Source organism: Homo sapiens, chromosome 14, assembly GCF_000001405.40.
Source record: "Homo sapiens chromosome 14, GRCh38.p14 Primary Assembly".
Taxonomy (NCBI): domain Eukaryota; kingdom Metazoa; phylum Chordata; class Mammalia; order Primates; family Hominidae; genus Homo; species Homo sapiens.
In genome coordinates this window covers 48,542,282-48,562,123 of record NC_000014.9, presented here as the reverse complement: position 1 = coordinate 48,562,123, position 19,842 = coordinate 48,542,282, and the positions used below count along the sequence as shown (strand labels likewise).

The 19,842-nt window shown below is 36.7% G+C and overlaps 1 long non-coding RNA gene across 1 annotated transcript in view, besides 1 other annotated feature; it reads left to right on the top strand.

Moving 5' to 3' along the window:
- The window catches only part of LOC105378178 (uncharacterized), an 894,025-nt gene that overhangs the window by 725,900 nt on the left and 148,283 nt on the right, over nucleotides 1–19,842 (top strand). The gene's annotated exons all lie outside the window — the stretch shown is intronic.
- Nucleotides 173–744: an enhancer, noted in NCBI's record as "OCT4-NANOG hESC enhancer chr14:49030583-49031154 (GRCh37/hg19 assembly coordinates)". NCBI's record gives its function as "activates a minimal SCP1, AML or CMV promoter by ChIP-STARR-seq in naive H9 embryonic stem cells {active_cell/tissue: H9 hESC(naive)}" and the evidence as "EXISTENCE:reporter gene assay evidence [ECO:0000049][PMID:30033119]".

Genomic DNA, 19,842 nt, shown 5'->3' with positions numbered 1-19,842 from the left:
ACATTTCTTAAGAGGATAAGCCAACATCTCTCCAAGGAGCAGTTCAGATTCTCAACAGGGCAATGGGAGGGCATCTTGTTCATGGTAACCGAGTCTATCGGGGGAACCAGCCCTCAGTATTTCAATGTAGGTTCTTTCTATTTTCCCCAAGTGTCAGCCGGTCTGAGAAATAAAGAGAAAGAGTACAAAGAGAGAAATTTTACAGCTGGGCCTCTGGGGGTGTCATCACATATTGGTAGGACCATGATGGTGATCCCGAGCCGCAAAACCAGCAGGTTTTTATTAGGGATTTCAAAACGAGAGGGGTGTACGAATAGGGAGTGGGTCATAGAGATCACATGGTTCAAAGGGCAATAAAAGATCACAAGGCAAAAGGGCAGAGCAGGATTACAAGGCAAGGGTGAAATTAGAATTACTGATGAGGGTGCATGTCCCGCTGGGCATGCATTGTCTTGATAAACATCTTAACAGGAAACAGGGTTTGAGAGCAGACAACCAGTCTGACTAGAATTCACCAGGCTGGAATTTCCCAAACCTAGTAAGCCTGAGGGCACTGCAGGAGACCAGGGTGTATTTCATCCCTTATGTCAACTGCATAAGACAGACACTCTCAGAGTGGTTGTCTATAGTCCTACTACTGGGAATGCATTCCTTCCCCAGGGTTATCAATTATTAATATTCCTTGGAGGAAAAGACTTCAGCGATATTTCTCCTACTCATATGTCTGTTTTTAGGCTCACTGCAAGAAGAAAAATATGGCTGTATTCTGCCCAACCCTGCAGGCAGTCAGACTTTATGGTTATCCTTCCTTGTTCCCTGAAAATCACTGTTATTCTGTTCTTTTTCAGGGTGCCCTGATTTCATATTGTTCAAACACACATGTTTTACAAACAATTTGTACATTTAACGCAATTTGTACATTTGTACATCACTGGGTCCTGACATACATCCTCAGCTTATGAAGATGACGGGATTAAGAGATTAAAGTAAAGACAGGGATAGAAAATTATAAGAGTATTGATTGGGGAAGTGATAAATGTCCATGAAATCTTCACAATTTATGTTCTTCTGCCACGGCTTCAGCCAGTCCCTCCATTCAGGGTCCCTGACTTCCCACAGCATCATCTCTAAGACTAATTTGGTTAGGTGGCTTTTTTTATAGTTTGGTTCATTCTTTCCACTCTTCCTGATGAAAGTGGGTGCCAGGGAGTATGATATTCCCATGTTATATCCAATACCTGGGCTAATTTCTTAATAACATGTGCAGTTAAATGAGTCCTATTATCTGAATCAATGTTTTCTATTAATCTAAACTTGGGTATGATATTTTCAACTAATGCCTTGACTACATTATTAGCAGTTGTACTTGAAATGGAAATAGCTTCTACCCAATGAGTAATGTGATGTATTACTAATAAATACTTTAGACGACCAATTGGAGGCATCTCTGTGTAATCAATCTGTATACTTTGGAATGGCCTTAAGCCTGGACTCTGTCCCACAAGGGGTAATCTTTTTATAGTTTGTTTATTGGTTTTCTTACATACTAAGCAACCGTCCTTAAACTGTTTCACCGGGGTATAAATTCCTATGCACCCATAAACTCTGAGAACTGCGTCACATGTGGCTTGGGGCCCTCAATGGGTCCCTTGATGCAGTTGGAACAAGATTTGCCTCATAAGGGGTTTGGATAACATTTCTCTCTGGTCTAGCAGTACCCATTTCCCTTTTGAATTCTCTTTAGCACCTGTTTTTATTAGTTTTTAGACCAAACAAAGCCAAACACCATTTTATATTTGACAGTGCTTCCTGTATGATTTTTATACCAGATGAACTAAATTTTACCTTTATATTAGTGTATTATTAATGTTAAACTCAATTTTAATAAAACCTTGTAGACATATTTATCCAATTTTAATGTCTGACCATAAGGTAAGATTTTTATAGACTCTTTTTAACCCTTTATAATTTTTATTAAAGAGCAGGTTAGTGCTTTAAGAAAAGCCTGTTGTGCTTTTATTTTAATGTCCAGTTCACAGAAAAACTGGGCGGGGTGATACCCCTTTAACTTTAGCCAATATGTTTACACACAGAATTTCCTTTACAATTAACGTTTCAAAACTTGCTTAAACCTTCAAAACTTTTTTTAAATCTTTTAATGTAGGTAAAAGTCCGCATTCTTATGCCTCCTTATAATCCTTTTACCTAAGGTATATTTTACTTTCCTTACACACTTTGCACATAAACTGTCTCTTCAATAGTTTTACATTCAGGAGGCCTAATTACTTTCAAATTGTACAACATTTCTTGCATAAATTATCTTTTATAACATTTTCATGACTTTCACAGACAATCTTTGACATGCCTTAACTTTCTGATGTAAACATCCCTTTCTTTAAACAACCAGTTAATTTACTTTAGGACAAGAATTTACCACTTAAGATTCTTTTTACATAAATTCTCCTCTTTTTTAATGTCAAAGATGATAACCATTCTTTTCCAAAGCAGACTTCCTTCATGTATGTGGACTAGACTGCCTAAGGCCACAAGATTAGAAGTTAGGATGATACATGTTACGTTGTTAACTTTTAGCAAACTTTACTTTTGTTTAAAACCTTGTAAGTTTGGGATTTTAATCATCCTTTGCTGTTAATAAGACCTCATTCAGTCCAAATTTTTTCCAAATGTGTGAGCCACTCCAAAGGCATACTTAGAATCAGTGTAGATGATTCCTTCCTGGTTCTGTAAGTACTTTAAGGCTTGGCTGAGTGCAAACAGCTCACACATTTAAGCAGACCAATTATTAGGCAATTTTCCTAAATCTATTTCTACAAGAGTTTCTCTGTCAATTACTGAATACCCATTGTGTCTTTTTCCCTCAATCACCTGGGAGGAGCCATCTATAAATAAGTGTCATCGCGTCCTGAAGGGAGTTTCTCCTAGGTCTGGTTGGACCTTTGTGTGGTAATTAATTAAATCTAAACATGTGTATTTTCTCTTTAGATTTAGATCCCCTGTTATGAAACCTGCTGGGTTAAGTGAATTATCAATGGTTAATGTTAAATCATCTTTTTCTAACAGAATAGCCTCTTACTTTAAGATTCTTAAGTCAGTAAGCTACCTTTTTCCTTTTTGACTTGGGATAGTTCTGACCTGGTGAGGTGTGCTCACAATGAGGTTTCCTCTAAAAGTTATTTTTCTACTTTTTTCTGTTAGCAAAGTAGTTGCCACTACAGATTGAATGCATTTGGGCCATCCACAGGTTACTTGGTTAAGGATTTTTGATAGGAAGGCTATGGGTTGTCAGTGGCCTCCATGCTTTTGGGTAAGTACTTCTAATGCTATGCCCTTGCTTACACTGACAAAAAGATGGAATGGCTGCTTGAGGAGAGTAGAGCTAGGACAGGAGCAGTTACTAATAGATGTTTTAACCTTTCCACCTGTTGGATTTCTGGTAATTGCCAACTGAGGGAGTTTGGCCCGTCTTGCATGAGCTTTTTGCAAAAGCGTTTTGTTTTTAGGGCATAAGAGTCTCTCCATAAACAACAGTATCCAACTAATCCTAAAATTTTCTAAGTTCTCATTTAGTCTCCAGCAGAGGAAGGCCCAATGTAGGTAAGAAACTTTAATGGTACATACGTTGCCTCATAATCAGTTAAAACGAAAACATTTAGCCCACATCGTGGGTTAAAGAGAACATTACCAGGAGGCCTTCACTCTTCTATAAGGGTATCATTTGTTAGGTCCTTTATCCATGGTTTAAAGTAAAAGAGGCAATGATTAGAAATGTATTCCCCATGATAGGCTCTATACCAAATTCTACTATAATGTCCTCAATTATACAACAGACTTTAAATTCTTTTGTGAGAGTTATGATAGAATTGGCTAAACAAAGAAGTATCTGTACAGCTGCTAGCCATTGTGGCCTATGGAGAAATACATCAAATGAAGATTATAGAAATTTAGTGGTACGGGATTAGCAAAGAGACTGCTTAGTTAAGTGAGTAAACTCTTTATCTAGCTCATTCTTTGCTCTATTTGATTTTAGGAGGTTTGGCTTGTGGGGACCTTGAATAAGAAGCATACTCCAAACTCTTGTTATTAATTCTCCCAATAGTCATAATAATAGTCTTCCTGGTGTGCTGTATTCTCTCAAATGTTTGAAATGCTTTCATGCAGCCATCTGTAGAATGTCATATGGTCTCTCTTCAACTGGAATGACAGAAGCTAAAGAAATGTGCACCCATGAGGCCACTATAGCCTATAAATGATGTGCTGGGACCGGAAACCCAAAATGATGGTAACTGAGAGTGGCACTAAGGCCCTAAGTTTTGGTCACACCATCACCTAAGTGAGAACTTCACCAAAAAGGGGGAGTTTTTTTAAACAAAATTCTGGGAGGCCATTTTTTTGGACTAAGCTCATGGACTAGGCCCTAACAGACCAAACCAAACCAAAATGAAGTCGTTTGGACTAAGACTTTAAGGAAACACATAGATTCTAGAGCAGACTAGGTTTTGCTTTTTCTCCTGCAAATCTCTATAACAAACATTCTTGACAGCATAGTTATCTATGAAGTCCCCCGGAAGTTCTCATTAAGTCTTTTAACCAAATTCATTTCCTCTCATCTAGAGACCATCAAGCTTCAGATGATCAGGCAACAAAGGCTCCAGCCAGTTGCAGGTGAAGACAGCACCCCTGGCCTTCAAGGAGCTACCCTGCCTTCTCTAGACAGAGCAGGACGAGAGTTCCATGATCCCCATCAGGTAGGGACTATGCCCCAAGCCAGCATGAAGCAGTTACAGAAAAAAGACTATCAGTTTCTCTGCCTCCCATAAAGATTGACGGGGATCACATCTCTCAGTGGGTAGATGAGGCAGGAAAATAGGGTCTGGACGCAGGGAACATAAGGCCAATTTACGCTTTGGCTATGACAGGAAATATCCTCTCCATAGGGAATAGGCCAAGTAAATAACTTTGTGACTTTATCATTTTCATTTACATACAGCATACCCCAAGTAACCAATGGAATCCTCTAGAGGGCATTTAAACTCCCCAAATTTCTATAATGGGGCCCTTGAGCCCCTATGCTTGGGCCCACTCCCACATGGTGGAGTGTACTTTCATTTTCAATAAATCCCTTCATTCCTTCAAAAAAAAATTGGAGGGAGCACTATCTCTATTTCCCAGTGTGATTACTAATTTATTGTCATTCGACTAGTCAGAAAGTCAAAAAGTAACAAATATTTATTTACCAGCTATTATTTATAATGATGTAAAGCCAACCAATTGCTAGCCTCAGAGAACCACGGTCGAGTGGAAGCCTGAGTCAACCCTTTGTTCTCTGATTCAGCTTTCTTACTAATCAACAATAGCAGTAGGGAAGGCTGTCCTCCTGATTTTAACATATCCTATATTTCAACCATTAAATGGGTCCATCCCTGTAATTAAATTTAGACCATTTTAACACTCCAAGGAGGAATTCTATACCCATAAACAATCACTTATTATTCCCCCCTACCACTAGTCCCTGACAGCCCCTAATTTCTATTGCCATAGATTTATTTTTTTCTGAACATTTTACGTAAATGGAATTATAAAATCTGTGGTCTTAAATGATCGGCTTCTTTCACTTAGCGTAATGTAATACATATGTTAGTACTTAATTTCTTTCTATGACTAAATAATATTGCATTATACAGATATTCCACATTTTTTAAATCCATTCATCAGTTGATAGATGATATGGTTTGGCTCTTTCCCCACCCAAATCTCATTTTGAATTTTAATCCCCACATGTCGAGGGAAGGACCTGGTGGGATGTGACTAGATCATGGGGGTGATTTCCCCCATGCTATTCTTGTGTTAGTGATGTAGTTTTCACAAGATCTGATGGTTTTAAAGGCGGCAGTTTTTTTTCCTGTGCTCTCTCTCTCGGTACCATGTAAGACGTGCCTTGCTTCCCCTCACCTACCACCATGATTTAAGTTTCCCGAGACCTCTTCAGCCATGTGGAACTGTGAGTCAATTAAACTTCTTTTGTTTATAAATTGCCCAGTCTCAGATAGTAACTTTATAGCAGTGTGAAAATGGCCTAATGAAATAGATGTTAGTTTATGCCTACTCTTTTGACTATTATGGATAATGCTACTTTAAGCAGTGATTACAAGTTTTTGTGTGAACACATGTTTTGATTTCCCTTGACTGTGTACCTAGGTGTGGAATTGCTGGGCCATGTGGAGACTCTATGTTTAGCATTTTAAGGAACTGCCAAACCATTTTCCAAAATGGGTGCAACATTTTATATTTCTAGTAGGGACGAATTAGCAAGCCAAGTTGTATCCTTGATGGCACTTATTACTGTGTATCTTTTTTATTATAGCCATCCTAGTTTGTGTGAGGAGGTATCTCATTGTAGTTCTGATTAGTATTTACCTAATAGTGATGTTGTGAATATGTTCATGTGCATATTGTAATTCGTAAGTTTCATTTGGAAAAATATCTATCCAAATTCTTTCCCATTTTTAAAAAGTTGCTATTTTTTGCAATTAATAAATTTGATTCTCAGAACATTATTAAGTTTAAGGGAAAATCAAACAGAAAGGACAGAAAGTTACCAGGTATTCCCTATCACAGTCACACTAACCCACACTTTCCCTGTTACGAACATCTTTCACTGGTGTGGTACATTCATTAAAATTGATGCATCACTATTAATCAAAGTCCACAGTTTACATTAAGGCTTATGTTCTATGTGTTCTAACAAATGCGTAATGTCATCATAAGCACCATAAAACTATCATACAGTATAATTTCAGTGCCTTAAAAATTCCCTGTAGTCTACATATTAATTCTTCGCCACTCCTCCTCAAAACCCTGGCAACCACTAATCTTTTTATTATTTCTAGACTCTTATGTCATTGGAGTCATACAATATGTAGCCTTTCAGACTGGCTTTTTCACTTAGCAATGTGCATTTAAGGGTCTTCCGTGTCTCTTTTGGTGACTTGATATTTCATATGTTTTTGCTTCTGAATACTATTCCATTGTGTGGATGTGCCACTGTTCATCTATTCATCCATAGGAGGACATCTTGGTTGCTTCCAAGTTTTGGCACTTATAAATACAGCTGCATTCTGAGGGATGAGATACTGGAATAAAAAGCTTCATTGATGGTCTCCCCTGTAAGGATACCTAGTTAACACCTTCATAAGAAACAAAATCAGGTGAGCACTCATAGTACCTGTTTTTAACTTAATATGGCTGAAAGAGGTACTGAAGAGATAGAAAAAAAGAGTCCTGAATTGCTGATGCCACCCCTCCCACACCCCCAGCAGCAGCAGCAGCAGCAGAGTGGTGCAGAGAGAATCTATGTGCTGGGAGATGGAAAGCACAGCAATTGTGAGTCATTGAACTCAGTGCTTTTCTGTTAGAGCAAAAAGAAAAACAGACCAAACTTAGCTGATGCCCACTCACAGAGGGATCAGTTAAACCAGCCCTAGCCACAGGAGAATCACAGATCCCAGTGGTCCAAACTTGAGTGCCCCCAAACCTTGACACTGAGGGCGAAAATGCTCTCATCTTGTAAGTAAACTTGAAAGGCAGTCTAGGCCAGAAGGACTGCAATTTGTAGGCTAGTCCTAGTACTGAACTAGTCTGAGAGATAGTGGACTGGGAGGGCATGCAACATACTGAGACACCATCTGGGGAAGTCAAGGGAGTGCTGGAATCACCTCTACCCAAGCCCCAGGCTGCACAGCTCATGGCTCCAAAAGGGACCCCTTCCATCTGCTTGAGGAGAAGAGAGAATAGTGGGGAGGACTTTGTCTTCCATCTTGGACACCAGCTCAGCCACAGCAGGATAGAGTACCAGTCAGAGTCAGGAGGCCCCTGTTCCAATCCCTAGCTCCCAGAAGACATCTGTAGACACATCCTTGGCCAGAAGGGAACCTGCTGCATGAAGGAAAGTAGCCAATCCTGCTAGCATTCATCACCTGCTAACTAAAGAGCCCTTGGGCCCTGAATAGCCAGCAACCATACCAACGTACTACACCAAGGGCCTTAGTGAGCCTCTGAAACTTACTGGCTTCAAATGAGACTCAGCACATTGCCAGCTATGGTGGCTATAGGATAAAACTCTGCTTGAGAAAAGAAGAGGTAAAAGTAAAGGTAAAAGTAAAGGGTAAAAGTAAAGAGGTAAAAGTAAAAGACTTTCTTTGTCTTACACCTTACGTACCAACACTACCACATTGGGATGAAGCACCAAGCAGCATCTTTGGGTCCCTGATTCTAGGACTTGACTTTTGTCTGGCATTTTTAGACCTGCCCTAGGCCAGAGAGGAGTCCACTGCCCTGAAAGATAACTACCAGGGTAGGCAGCATTCACTACAATGCTGTCTTAAGTCACCACAAGCTGACTTAAGAGACCTTGTTCCTTAAGGAAACATTGGTGGTAGTCTGACAGTACTCCCCATGGCCAAAGGTGGCAGTGGCTATGAGGTCAGGCTCCTTTGCCTTTGAAAAAGAGAGGGATCAATGGACAGTACTGCATCTTGTGGTTTGAGTGCCAGCTCAGCTATAATACAATAGAATACCAGGTAGACTTCTAAGGTTTTTGACTCTAGTCCCTCAATCCTGGATGACACTTCTAGACTCACCACAGGCCTGGGAGATCTCACCACCATGAAGGGAAAGACTCAGGCCTGGCTAGCTTTGCCACCTCTGATTGTGGAGCACAAGGGCTTAAGGGAACATATGCAGTAGCCAAGGATTGGATACAGCAGGCCTTGGGGAAGACCCAGTGCTGTGCTGGCTTCAGGTATGACCCAGCACAATCACAGTGGTGGTGGCCACAGAAGTGCTTATCTTACTCTAGCCCCAGCTTTAGGTGGCTCGGAACAGAGAGAGACTCTGTATGTTTTGGAGAAAGTAAGGAAAGAGAGAGTCTCTCCCTGGTAATCCAGAGAATTCTCCCAGATCTCGTCCAAGACCATCAAGATAGTACCTCTATGAGTCTGTAAAAACCACAGCATTACCGGGGTTGGGGTGCCCCTAAAGCAAAATCAGCTTATGTCACATAACTGAAGTTCTTTCAAATATCTGGAAAGACTTCCCCAGAAGGATGGCTACAAATAAGCCCAGAGAGTGAAGACTAAAATAAATATATAACCCTACAATTCCCAGACACCAAAGAACATCTACTAGCATTAACACCATCCAAGAGAACATGACTTGGCCAAGTTAACTAAATAAGACACCAGGGACCAACCCTAAAGAAACAGAGATATGTAACCTTTCAGACAGAGAATTCAAAGTAACTGGTTGAGAAAACTCAAAGAAATTCAAGATAAAAAATAGAATGAATTTAGAATTCTATCAGGTAAATTTAACAAAGAGTTTAAAACAATTAAAAAAATCAAGTAGAAATTCCAGAGGTAAAAAATGCAATTGGCATACTGAAGAATGCATCAAAATGGATCAAGCAAAAGAAATATTTAATGAGCATGAAGACAGACTTGGAAATACATAGTCAGAGGAGACAAAAGAAAAAAGGAATAAAAAACAATGAATCATACCTACAGGATTTAGAAGATAGCCTCAAAAGGGCAAATCTAAGAGTTATTGGGCTAAAAGAGAAGGTAGGGAAGGAGATAGGGGTAGAAAGTTCATTCAAAGGGAAAATAACAGAGAACGTCCCAAACCCAGAGAAAGATATCAATATCCAAGTACAAGATGGCTGTAGAACACCAAGCAGATTTAACCCAAAGAAGACTACCTCAAGGCATTTAATGATCAAACTCCCAAAGTCAAGGATAGAGAAATGATCCTAAAAATAGTAGCAGAAAAGAAACAAATAAATATACAATGGAGCTCCAACACATCTGGCAGCACACTTTTCAGTGGAAACTTTACAGGCCAGGAGAGAGTGACATGACATATTGAAAATGCTAAAGGAAAAACAAAACAAAACAAAGCTTTTAAACTCAGATAGTATTTCTGGTGAAAATATCCTTCAAACATGAAGGAGAAATAAAGACTTCACAGACAAACAAAAGCTAAGGGATTTCATTAATGCCAGACCTGTCCTATAAGGAATGCTAAAGGGAGTACTTCAATCAGAAATACAAGAACATTAATGAGCAGTGAATAATCAGCTGAAGGTACAAAACTTACTGGTAATAGTAAGTACACAGAAAAATGCAGAATAGAATAACACTATAACTGTGCTGTGTAAACTACTTTTATCCTAACTAGAAAGACTAAAGGATAAAGTAATGAAAAATTATAACTAAAACAACTTTTCAAGACATAGTCAGTAAAATAAGATGTAAATAGAAATAACAAAATGTTAAAAAGCCCAGGGACAAATTTAAAGTGAGTTTTTGTTAGTTTTCTTTTCTCTTGTTTGTGTGTTTGTTTATGCAAATACTGTTAAGTTGCTTTCAGGTTAAAATAATGAGTTATAACATAGTAATTGCATGCCTCATGGTAATCTCAAACCAAAAAAACATAAAATGGATACACAAAAAATCAAAAGCAAGAAACTAAATTACATCATCAGAATAAATTACCTTTACTAGAGAAAAGAATGAATGAAAGAAGAAAGAGAAGACCCAAAACAACCAGAAAACGAGTAACAAAATGGCAGGATAAGTTCTTACTCAATAATAGTAACAATGAATACAAATAGACTAAACTCTCCAATCAAAAGACATAGACTGGCTGAGTGGATGAAAAAAACAAGACTCATTGATCTGTTGCCTATAAGAAACACACTCCACATAAAAAGATACACACTGACTGAAAACAAGTGGATGGAAAAATATATTCCATGCCAATGGAAACCAGAAGGAGCAGGAGTCACTAGACTTACATCACACAAAATAGATTTCAATGCAAAAACTATAAGAAGAGACAAAGAAAGTCACTATACAATGATAAAGGGGTCAATCAGCAAGAGGATATAACAATTTTAAATATATATATGCACCCAGCACTGGAGCACTTAAATATATAAAGGAAATATACTTAGAGCTAAAAAGAGAGATGAGTCCCAATACAATAATAGCTGGAGACTTCAACACCCCACTTTCAGCATTGGACAGATCTTCCAGACAGAAAATAAACAAAGAAACATCAGATTTAACCTGCACTATAGACAAAATAGCTCTAATAGATATTTACAGAACATTTCATGCAAAAGCTTCAGAGCACACATTCTTTACCTCAGTACATGGGTTATTCTCAAGGATATATGTTAGGTCACAAAACAAGTCTTAAAACATTCAAAAAATGAAACAGCATCAAGTATCTGACCACAATGGAATAAATCTAGAAGTTAATAAGAGGAATTTTGGAAACTATACAAATACATGGAAATTAAACAATATCCTCTGAATCACTACTGGGTCACTGAAGAAATTAAAAAGGAAATTGAAAAGTTTCTTAAAATAAATAATAATGGAAACACAACATACCAAAACCTATGGGATACAGCAAAAGCAATACTAACAGGAGAATGTATACCTATAAGTGCCTACATCAAATAAATGGAAAAAAACTTCAAATAAGCAATCTAAAGATGCATATAGATTGTATCTTTTCTTGTTTTAAAGAACATAGTACCTAATAGGTAGTTTTTCAAGCTTTTCCCTCTTCCTTGCTTTTGTTTGGAGTCACCAGTGTCTACTGTTTCCATCTTTATGTTCATGTGTACTCAATGTTTAGCTCCCAATTATAAGTGAGAATGTACAGTATTTGGTTTTCCGTTTATGCATTAATTCACTTAGGATAATAGCCTCCACCTGCAGCCATGTTGCTGCAAAGGACATGATTTCATTCTTTTTCATTGCTCTGTAGTATTCCATGGTGTATATGTATTACATTTTATTTCTTTATCTAGTCCACCATTGATGGGCACCTAGGTTCATTCCATGTCTTTGCTGTTGTGAATAGTGCTGCACTGAACATGTGAGTGCAGGTGTCTTTTTGGTAAAATGGCTAATTTCCCTTTGGGTATATACCCAGTAATGGGATTGCTGGGTTGAATAGTAATTCTATTTTTAGTTTTTTGAGAAATCTCCAAACAGCTTTTCCTAGGGGCTGAACTGATTTACAATTCCCACCAACAGCGTATAAGCATTCATTTTTGTTCTGCAACCTTGCCAACCTGTTATTTTTCACTTTTTATAATGGCTGTTCTAACTTGTGTAAGGTGATTCCTCCTTTTGGTTTTGATTTGCATTTCTCTATTGATTAATGATGTAAAGCATATTTTTTTGTCTGTGTTTTGGCTGCTTGTATGCCTTCTTTTGAGAAGTGTCTGCTCATGTTCTTGGCTCACTTTTTAATGGCCTTGTTTGTGATTTTTGATGTTGTTTTTGTTGATTTAAGTATCTTGTAGATTCTGAATATTAGTTCTTTGTCAGGGGCTTAGTTTGCAAATGTTTTCTCCCATTCTGTAGGTTGTCTATTTACTCTTCATAGTTTCTTTTGCTTTGCCAAAGTTCTTTATTTTAATTAGATCCATTTCTGTTTTGGTCACATTTGCTTTTGAGGACTTAGAAATTCTTTGCCTAGGTCAATATCCAGAAGAATACTCCGTAGGTTTTATTCTAGGATTTTTATAGTTTGAAGTCATATATTTAAGTCTTTATTTCATATTGAGTTAATTTTTATATATGGTGAGAGGTAGAGGTTGAATTTCATTTTTCTGCCTATGGTTTTCCAGTTTTCCCAGCACCATTTATTGAATAAGGTATCCTTTCCCATTGTCTTTGTTGACTTTGTTGAAGATTAGTTGGTTGTCAGTGTGCGGCTTTATTTCTGGGTTCTCCATTCTGTTTCATTGGTCTATGCACCTCTTTTTTTTTTTAACAGTGTCATGCTTTTTTAGGTACATAGCCTTATAGTGTAGTTTGAAGATCAGGTTGTGATAACTTTAGTTTTATGTTTTTTGCTTAGGATTGCTTTGGCTATTTGGGCTCTTTTTTGTTTGGTTCCATATAAATTTTAGAATAGATTTTTTTTTTTCTAATTCTGTGAAGAATAACATTGGTAATTTGATCAGAATTGTGTTGAATCTACAGATTGCTTCAGGCAATATGGACATTTTAACAATACCATTTCTTCCAATCCATGAGGATGTAATGTTTTTCCATTTGATTGTGTTCAATGATTTCTTTCAGCAGTGTTTTGCAGTTCTTGTTGTAGAGATTTTTTTTTTTTTAACCTCTTTGGTAAGCTGTATCCTAGGTATTTTATTTTTTGTGGCTATTGTAAATGAGATTGCATTCTTGATTTGAATCTCAGTTTAAATGTTATTGGTGTATAGAAATGCTACTGACTTTTATACATTGATTTTGTATCCTGAGACTTTGCTGAAGTAGTTTATCAGGTCTAGGATTCTTTTGGCAGAATCTTTAGGGTTTTCTAGGTATAGAATCATATCATTGGCTAAGAAAGAGAAGTTGACTTTCTCTTTTTCTATTTGGGTGCCTTTTCTTTCTTTCTCTCGACTGATTGCTCTGGTAAGGACTTCCAGTACTGTAACAAATAAGAATGATGAGAATAGACATCTTTATATTGTTCCAGTTCCTAAGGGGAACTTTTGCCCATTCAGTATGATATTTGTGGGTTTGTGAAAGATGGCTCTTATTATTTTAAGGTATGTTTTTTCAATGCCTGCCTTGTTAAGAGTTTTTATCTTGATAGAATGTTGCATTTTATTGAATTTTTTTCTGCATCTATTGAGATGATCATATGGTTTTCATTTTTAATTCTGTTTATGTGGTTAATCATATTTAATGATTTTGAATCAACCTTGCATTTCAGGAATAAGGCCCACTTGATTCTGGTTATTTATCCTTTTGATATTGCTGGTACCTTCAGTTGGCTAGAATCATGTTGCAGATTTTTGCTTGTATGTTTATCAGGAATACTGGCCTGTAGTTTTGTTTTTTTCACAGTGCCTTTGCCAGCTTTTAGTATAAGGATAGTACTGGCTTCACAGAAAGAGAGAGGAATCCTTCCTCCTCTAATTTTTGGAATAGTTTCAGTAAAATTGCTACTGAAATTTTTGTACACCTGTTAGAATTTGGCTGTGAATCCATCTGCTCTGGAACTTTTTTGGTTCATAGGGTTTTTAAATTATAATTATTATAAATATTTAATTTATAAATTATATATTATAAACATATTATAATTTATTATAAATATTATAATTATTACTGACACAATTTTGGAATTTGTTTTTTGTCTGTTTATGGTGTCTGTATCTTCCTGGTTCAATCTTGGGAAGCTGTGTGTTTCTAGGAGTTCATTTCCTATAGATTTTCTGATTTGCACATATAGAGATATTCATAGTAGTTTCAGAGGATCTTTTGAACTTCTGTGTGATCAGTTGTAATGTCATCTTTGTCATTTCTGATTGTGCTTATCTGAATATTTTCTTTTTTTCTTTGTTATTCTAGCTAGTGGTCTATCAATCTTGTTTATCCCTTCAAAGGGGCAACTTTTCATTTCATTGATTCTTTATATAGTTTTTTTTCTCAATTGCATTTAATTATGTTCTGATTTTTATTATTTCTTTTCTTCTACTAGCATTGAGTTTAGTTTGCTCTAGTTCCTATAGTTATAATATTAAGTAGTTAATTTGAGATCTTTCTGTCTTCTTAATATAGGTGTTTAGTGCTATAAACTTTTCTCTTAACACTGCTTTTGCCATATCTCATAGGTTTTGGTGTATTGTGTCGCTATTTTCATTTGTTTCTTTGAAGAATTTTTTTGATTTCTGCCTTAATATCATTGTTTAGGTTCCATGTGTTTGTGTGCTTTTTAAAGTTCCTCTTGGTATTGATTTCGAATTGTAGTCCACTGTAGTCAAGGAGATGCTAGGTATAATTTGGTTCCTTTTGAAATTGAGCTTTGTTATGACTCAGCATGTGGTTACTTAGAATATGTTCTGTGTGCAGATGAGAATGTATATTCTGTGGTTCTTGGGTGAAGTATTCTGTAGATTTCTATTACGTCCAATTGTTCAAGTGTCAAATTTTAGTCCAGAATTTCTTTGCTAGTTTTCTGCTTTGGTAATCTAACGCTGTCAGTGGGGTGTTGAAACCCCCCACTATTATTATGTCACTGTCTAAGTGTTTTCTTAGGTCCAGTAGTAATTTTTTTTTTTTTTTTTTTGAGACAGAGTCTCACTCTCTCACCAGGCTGGAGTGCAGTGGCTCAATCTTGGCTCACTGCAACCCCTGCCTCCCAGGTTCAAGCAATTCTCCTGCCTCAGCCTCCCAAGTAGCTGAGACTACAGGCGTGCACCATCACCCCCAGCTAATTTTTGTATTTTTAGTAGAGACGGGGTTTCACCCTGTTGGCCAGGATGGTCTTGATCTCTTGGCCTTGTGATCTGCCCACCTTGACCTCCCAAAGTGCTGGGATTACAGGTGTGAGCCACTGCGCCCCGTCCAGTAGTAATTGTTTTATAAATCTGAGTCCTCCAGTATCAGGTGTATATATATTTAAGACAGGTAAGTCCTTTTTGAATTGATCCCTTTATCATTAGATTATGCTCTTCTTTGTGCTTTTTTTAAACTGTTGTTTCTTTGAAGTCTTTTATCTGATTAATAAAACAACAGTCCCTATTCTTGTTTACCTTTTATGAAATAGATCCTTCTCCATTCCTTTACTTTGAGCCTATGGGTGTCATTATGTGTGAGATAGAACTTCTGAAGACAGAAGAAGTTAGGTCTTCTTATTTTAATCCAATTTGCTACTTTATGTCTTTTGAGTGGAATGTTTAGGATACTTATCTTCAATGTTAATATTGTTATTTGAGTTGTTATTCCTGTTGTGGTGTTCTTCATTAGTTGCTATGTAGTCTCAATTGTATAGTTGCTTTATAGGGTCTGTGGGCTACATACTTAGGTGTGTTTTTCTGGTGGCATGTATCATTCTTTTGAGTCCATGTTTAAGACTCCCTTAAGCATCTCTTGTACAGCTAGCATGGTGGTGACAAGTTCTCTTATAGATTGCTTATCTGGAAAACCTATTTCTTCGTTGTTTATAAGGCTTAGTTTGGTGGGCTATGAAATTCTTGGCTGAAATTACTTTTCTTTAAGAATCCAAAAAGTAGGCACCCAGTTTCTTCCAGAAGGTATGGTTTCTACTGAAAAGTCCACTGTTAGTCTGACGGGATTCCCTTTATAGATTACATGGCACATTTGTCTAGTTACATTTAAGATTTTTTTCTTTTGCATTGACCTTGGAAAGTCTGGTGACTATGTGCCTTGGGGATAGTCATCTAGTATAGTATATTGTAGGAGTTCTCTGGATTTCATGTATCTATATGTCACCTCTATAGAGAGAATGGGGAAATTATCCTGGATTATATCCTCAAATATGTTTTCAAAATTGCCTGCTTTCTCTTCTCTGTCAGGAATGCCAATTAGCCACATATTAGGTTACTTTACATAATTGCATATTCCTTAGCTTTAGAATGGATAGCATTAAAAAGTCAAAAAAATAACAGATGCTGGTGAGGTTGTAGACAAAAGGGGACACTTATGCACTGCTGGTGGAAATGCAAATTAACTCAGCCACTGTGGAAAACACTTTAGCGATTTATAAAAGAACTTAAAATAGAACTACCATTTGACCCAGCAATACCATTATTGGATATACACTTAAAGGAATATAAATCCCGATACCAGAAAGACACATGCACGTGTATGTTAAACACAGCACTATTCACAATATCAAAGATATGGAATCAACCAAGATTCCCATCAAAGTTAGACTGGATAAAGAAAAAGAGGTACATATATACCATAGAATAACACACAACCATAAAAAAAAACAAGATAATATCCTTTGCAGCAATATAAATGGAGCTGGAGGTCATTGTCCTAAGCAATCTAATATAGGAACAGAAAACCAAACACCAAATATTGTCACTTATATGTTGGAGCTAAACAATGAGTACACATGGACACAAAGAAAGGAACAATAGACACTGGGGCGTACTTGAGTTTGGAGGGTGAGAGGAGTATGAAAAACTACCTATGACTGAAACACCAAAAGCAATGGCAACAAAAGCTAAAATAGACAAATGGGATCTAATTAATCTAAAGAGCTTCTGCACAGCAAAAGAAACTACCATCAGCATGAACAGGCAACCTACAGAATGGGAGAAAATTTTTACAATCTACCCATCTGACAAAGGGCTAATATCCAGAATCTACAAAGAACTTAAACAAATTTACAAGAAAAAATCAAACAAGCCCATCAAAAAGTGGGCAAAGGATATGAACAGACACTTCTCAAAAGAAGACATTTATGCAGCCAACAGACACATGAAAAAATGCTCATCATCACTGGCCATCAGAGAAATGCAAATCAAAATCATAATGAGATACCATCTCACACCAGTTAGAGTGGTGATCATGAAAAAGTCAGGAAACAACAGGTGCTGGAGAGGATGTGGAGAAGTAGGAACACTTTTACACTGTTGGTGGGACTGTAAACTAGTTCAACCATTGTGGAAGACAGTGTGGTGATTCCTCAAGGATCTAGAACTAGAAATACCATTTGACCCAGCCATCCCATTACTGGGTATATACCCTGGGTATATACCCTGGGTATGTACCAAAGGGTTTATAAACCTTTGGATTTATAAACCCAAAGGATTATAAATCATGCTGCTATAAAGACACATGCACATGTATGTTTATTGCGGCACTATTTACAATAGCAAAGACTTGGAACCAGCCCAAATGTCCATCAATGATAGACTGGATTAAGAAAATGTGGCACATATACACCATGGAATACTACGCAGCCATAAAAAATGATGAGTTCACCTCCTTTGCAGGGACATGGATGAAGTTGGAAACCATCATTCTGAGCAAATTATCACAAGGACAGAAAACCAAACACCGCATGTTTTCACTCATAGGTGGGAACTGAACAATGAGAACACTTGGACACAGGGTAGGGAACATCACACACTGGGGCCTGTCATGGGGTGTGGGGAGGGGGATGGGGGGAGGGGGGTGGGGGGAGGGATAGTATTAGAAGATATACCTAATGTAAATGACGAGTTAACGGGTGCAGCACACCAACACGGCACATGTATACATATGTAACAAACCTGCACGTTGTGCACTTGTACCCTAGAACTTAAAGTATAATTTAAAAAAAAAAAGAAAAACTACCTATTGGGTACTATGCTTACTACCTTGGTGATGAAATAATCTGTACACCAAACCAGCATAACATGCAATTTACTTGTGTAACAATCCTGCACATGTACCCCTGAGCCTAGAGTAAAAGTTATTTTTTATAAATGAAAGTGCTTATTCATATTCTACTTTTTAAGGAGTTTGTGAAGAATTAGATTTAATTCTTTAAATGTTCTATAAAATTTACTAGTGAAGGTATCTCAGCTTATTCTTTGCTTTGTGACAAGTCATTTAAAAACATCAATCAGTCTCTTTATTTGTTATAAGTCTACATAGAATCTTTATTTCTTCTCCAGTCATTTTCAGTTAATTTATATTTCCAGGAGTTTATCTATTTTATCTAAGTTTTTTGCTAATTTGGCATACAAATGTTGATAATATTTTTTTAATTTTTTTTATTTTTCATAGGTTATTGGGGTACAGGTAGTATTTGAGTACGTTAGTAAGTTCTTTACTGGTGATTTTGAGATTTTGGTGCACCCATCACCTGAGCAGTATGCACTGCACCCTATTTGTAGTCTTTTATCCCTCGTCCCCCTCCCACCCTTCCTCTTAAGTCCCCAAAGTTCATTGTATCATTCTTATGCCTTTGTGTCCTCATAGCTTATCTCCCACATATCGAGAAAATGGGATGTGTTTCCATTTGTTTGTGTCGTCTATGATTTCTTTTAGCAGTATTTTGTAGTTTTCCTTGTAGAGGTCTTTCACTTCCTTGGTTAGGTATCTTCCTAAGTATTTTATTTTATTTTTTGCAGCTATTGTAAAAGAGGTTGAGTTCTTGATTTGATTTCCCACTTGATCACTGTTGGTGTATAGAAGTGCTTGATATAATTTTAATTTTCTTAAGTATATTGAGGCTCGTTTTGTGGCCTATCTTGAAGAAAGTTCCATACGCTGTTGAATAGAATGTGTATTATTTCTTTATAGTCCTTTTTAGTTATTTAATGTTGAAGTTTTTTCCTCCCGTTCTTGTCTCTCTTCTTTCTTTTGGCTCTCTTCTTCTCTGATGTATATATTGTGCTTAATGGTGTTCCACATTTTTCTTAGGCTTTACTCATTGTTTAAATTATTCTTTCTCTTTGCTTAGATTGAATAATATCTTTTAATATATCTTCAAGCTCCTGATTCTTTTCTTCTGCCATCTCAAATTTACTGTTGATCATTTTAGCAATTTTTTTTTTCGTTTTGAGTATGGAGTTTTCAACTCCAGAATTTCTAATTTCCACTTGGCACTTATTTAATAATTTCTTTCTCAATCTTTATATTCTATATTTGATGGGAAATTTTTGTCATATCTTCCTTTATTTTCTTTAGGTTTTTTTTAATTATCTGAATATATTTGTAATATCTCCTAAGTTTTCGTTTATAAGTTAATCATGAGGGCCCCCTCAAAAACAGTTTGTATTGTCTACATGTTTCTTCTGTCACATTTCCCTGTTTCTTTGCATGTCTTATAAGTTGTGTTGAAAACTGGACACTTTTGACAATATGTTAATAAATTTGATAAATTAAAAACAATTTATCAAAACTGAATGTAATATAGAAAAATTGAATTACTCTGTATTTATTAAAGGAAGTAAGTTCAAAATTGAAAAACTTT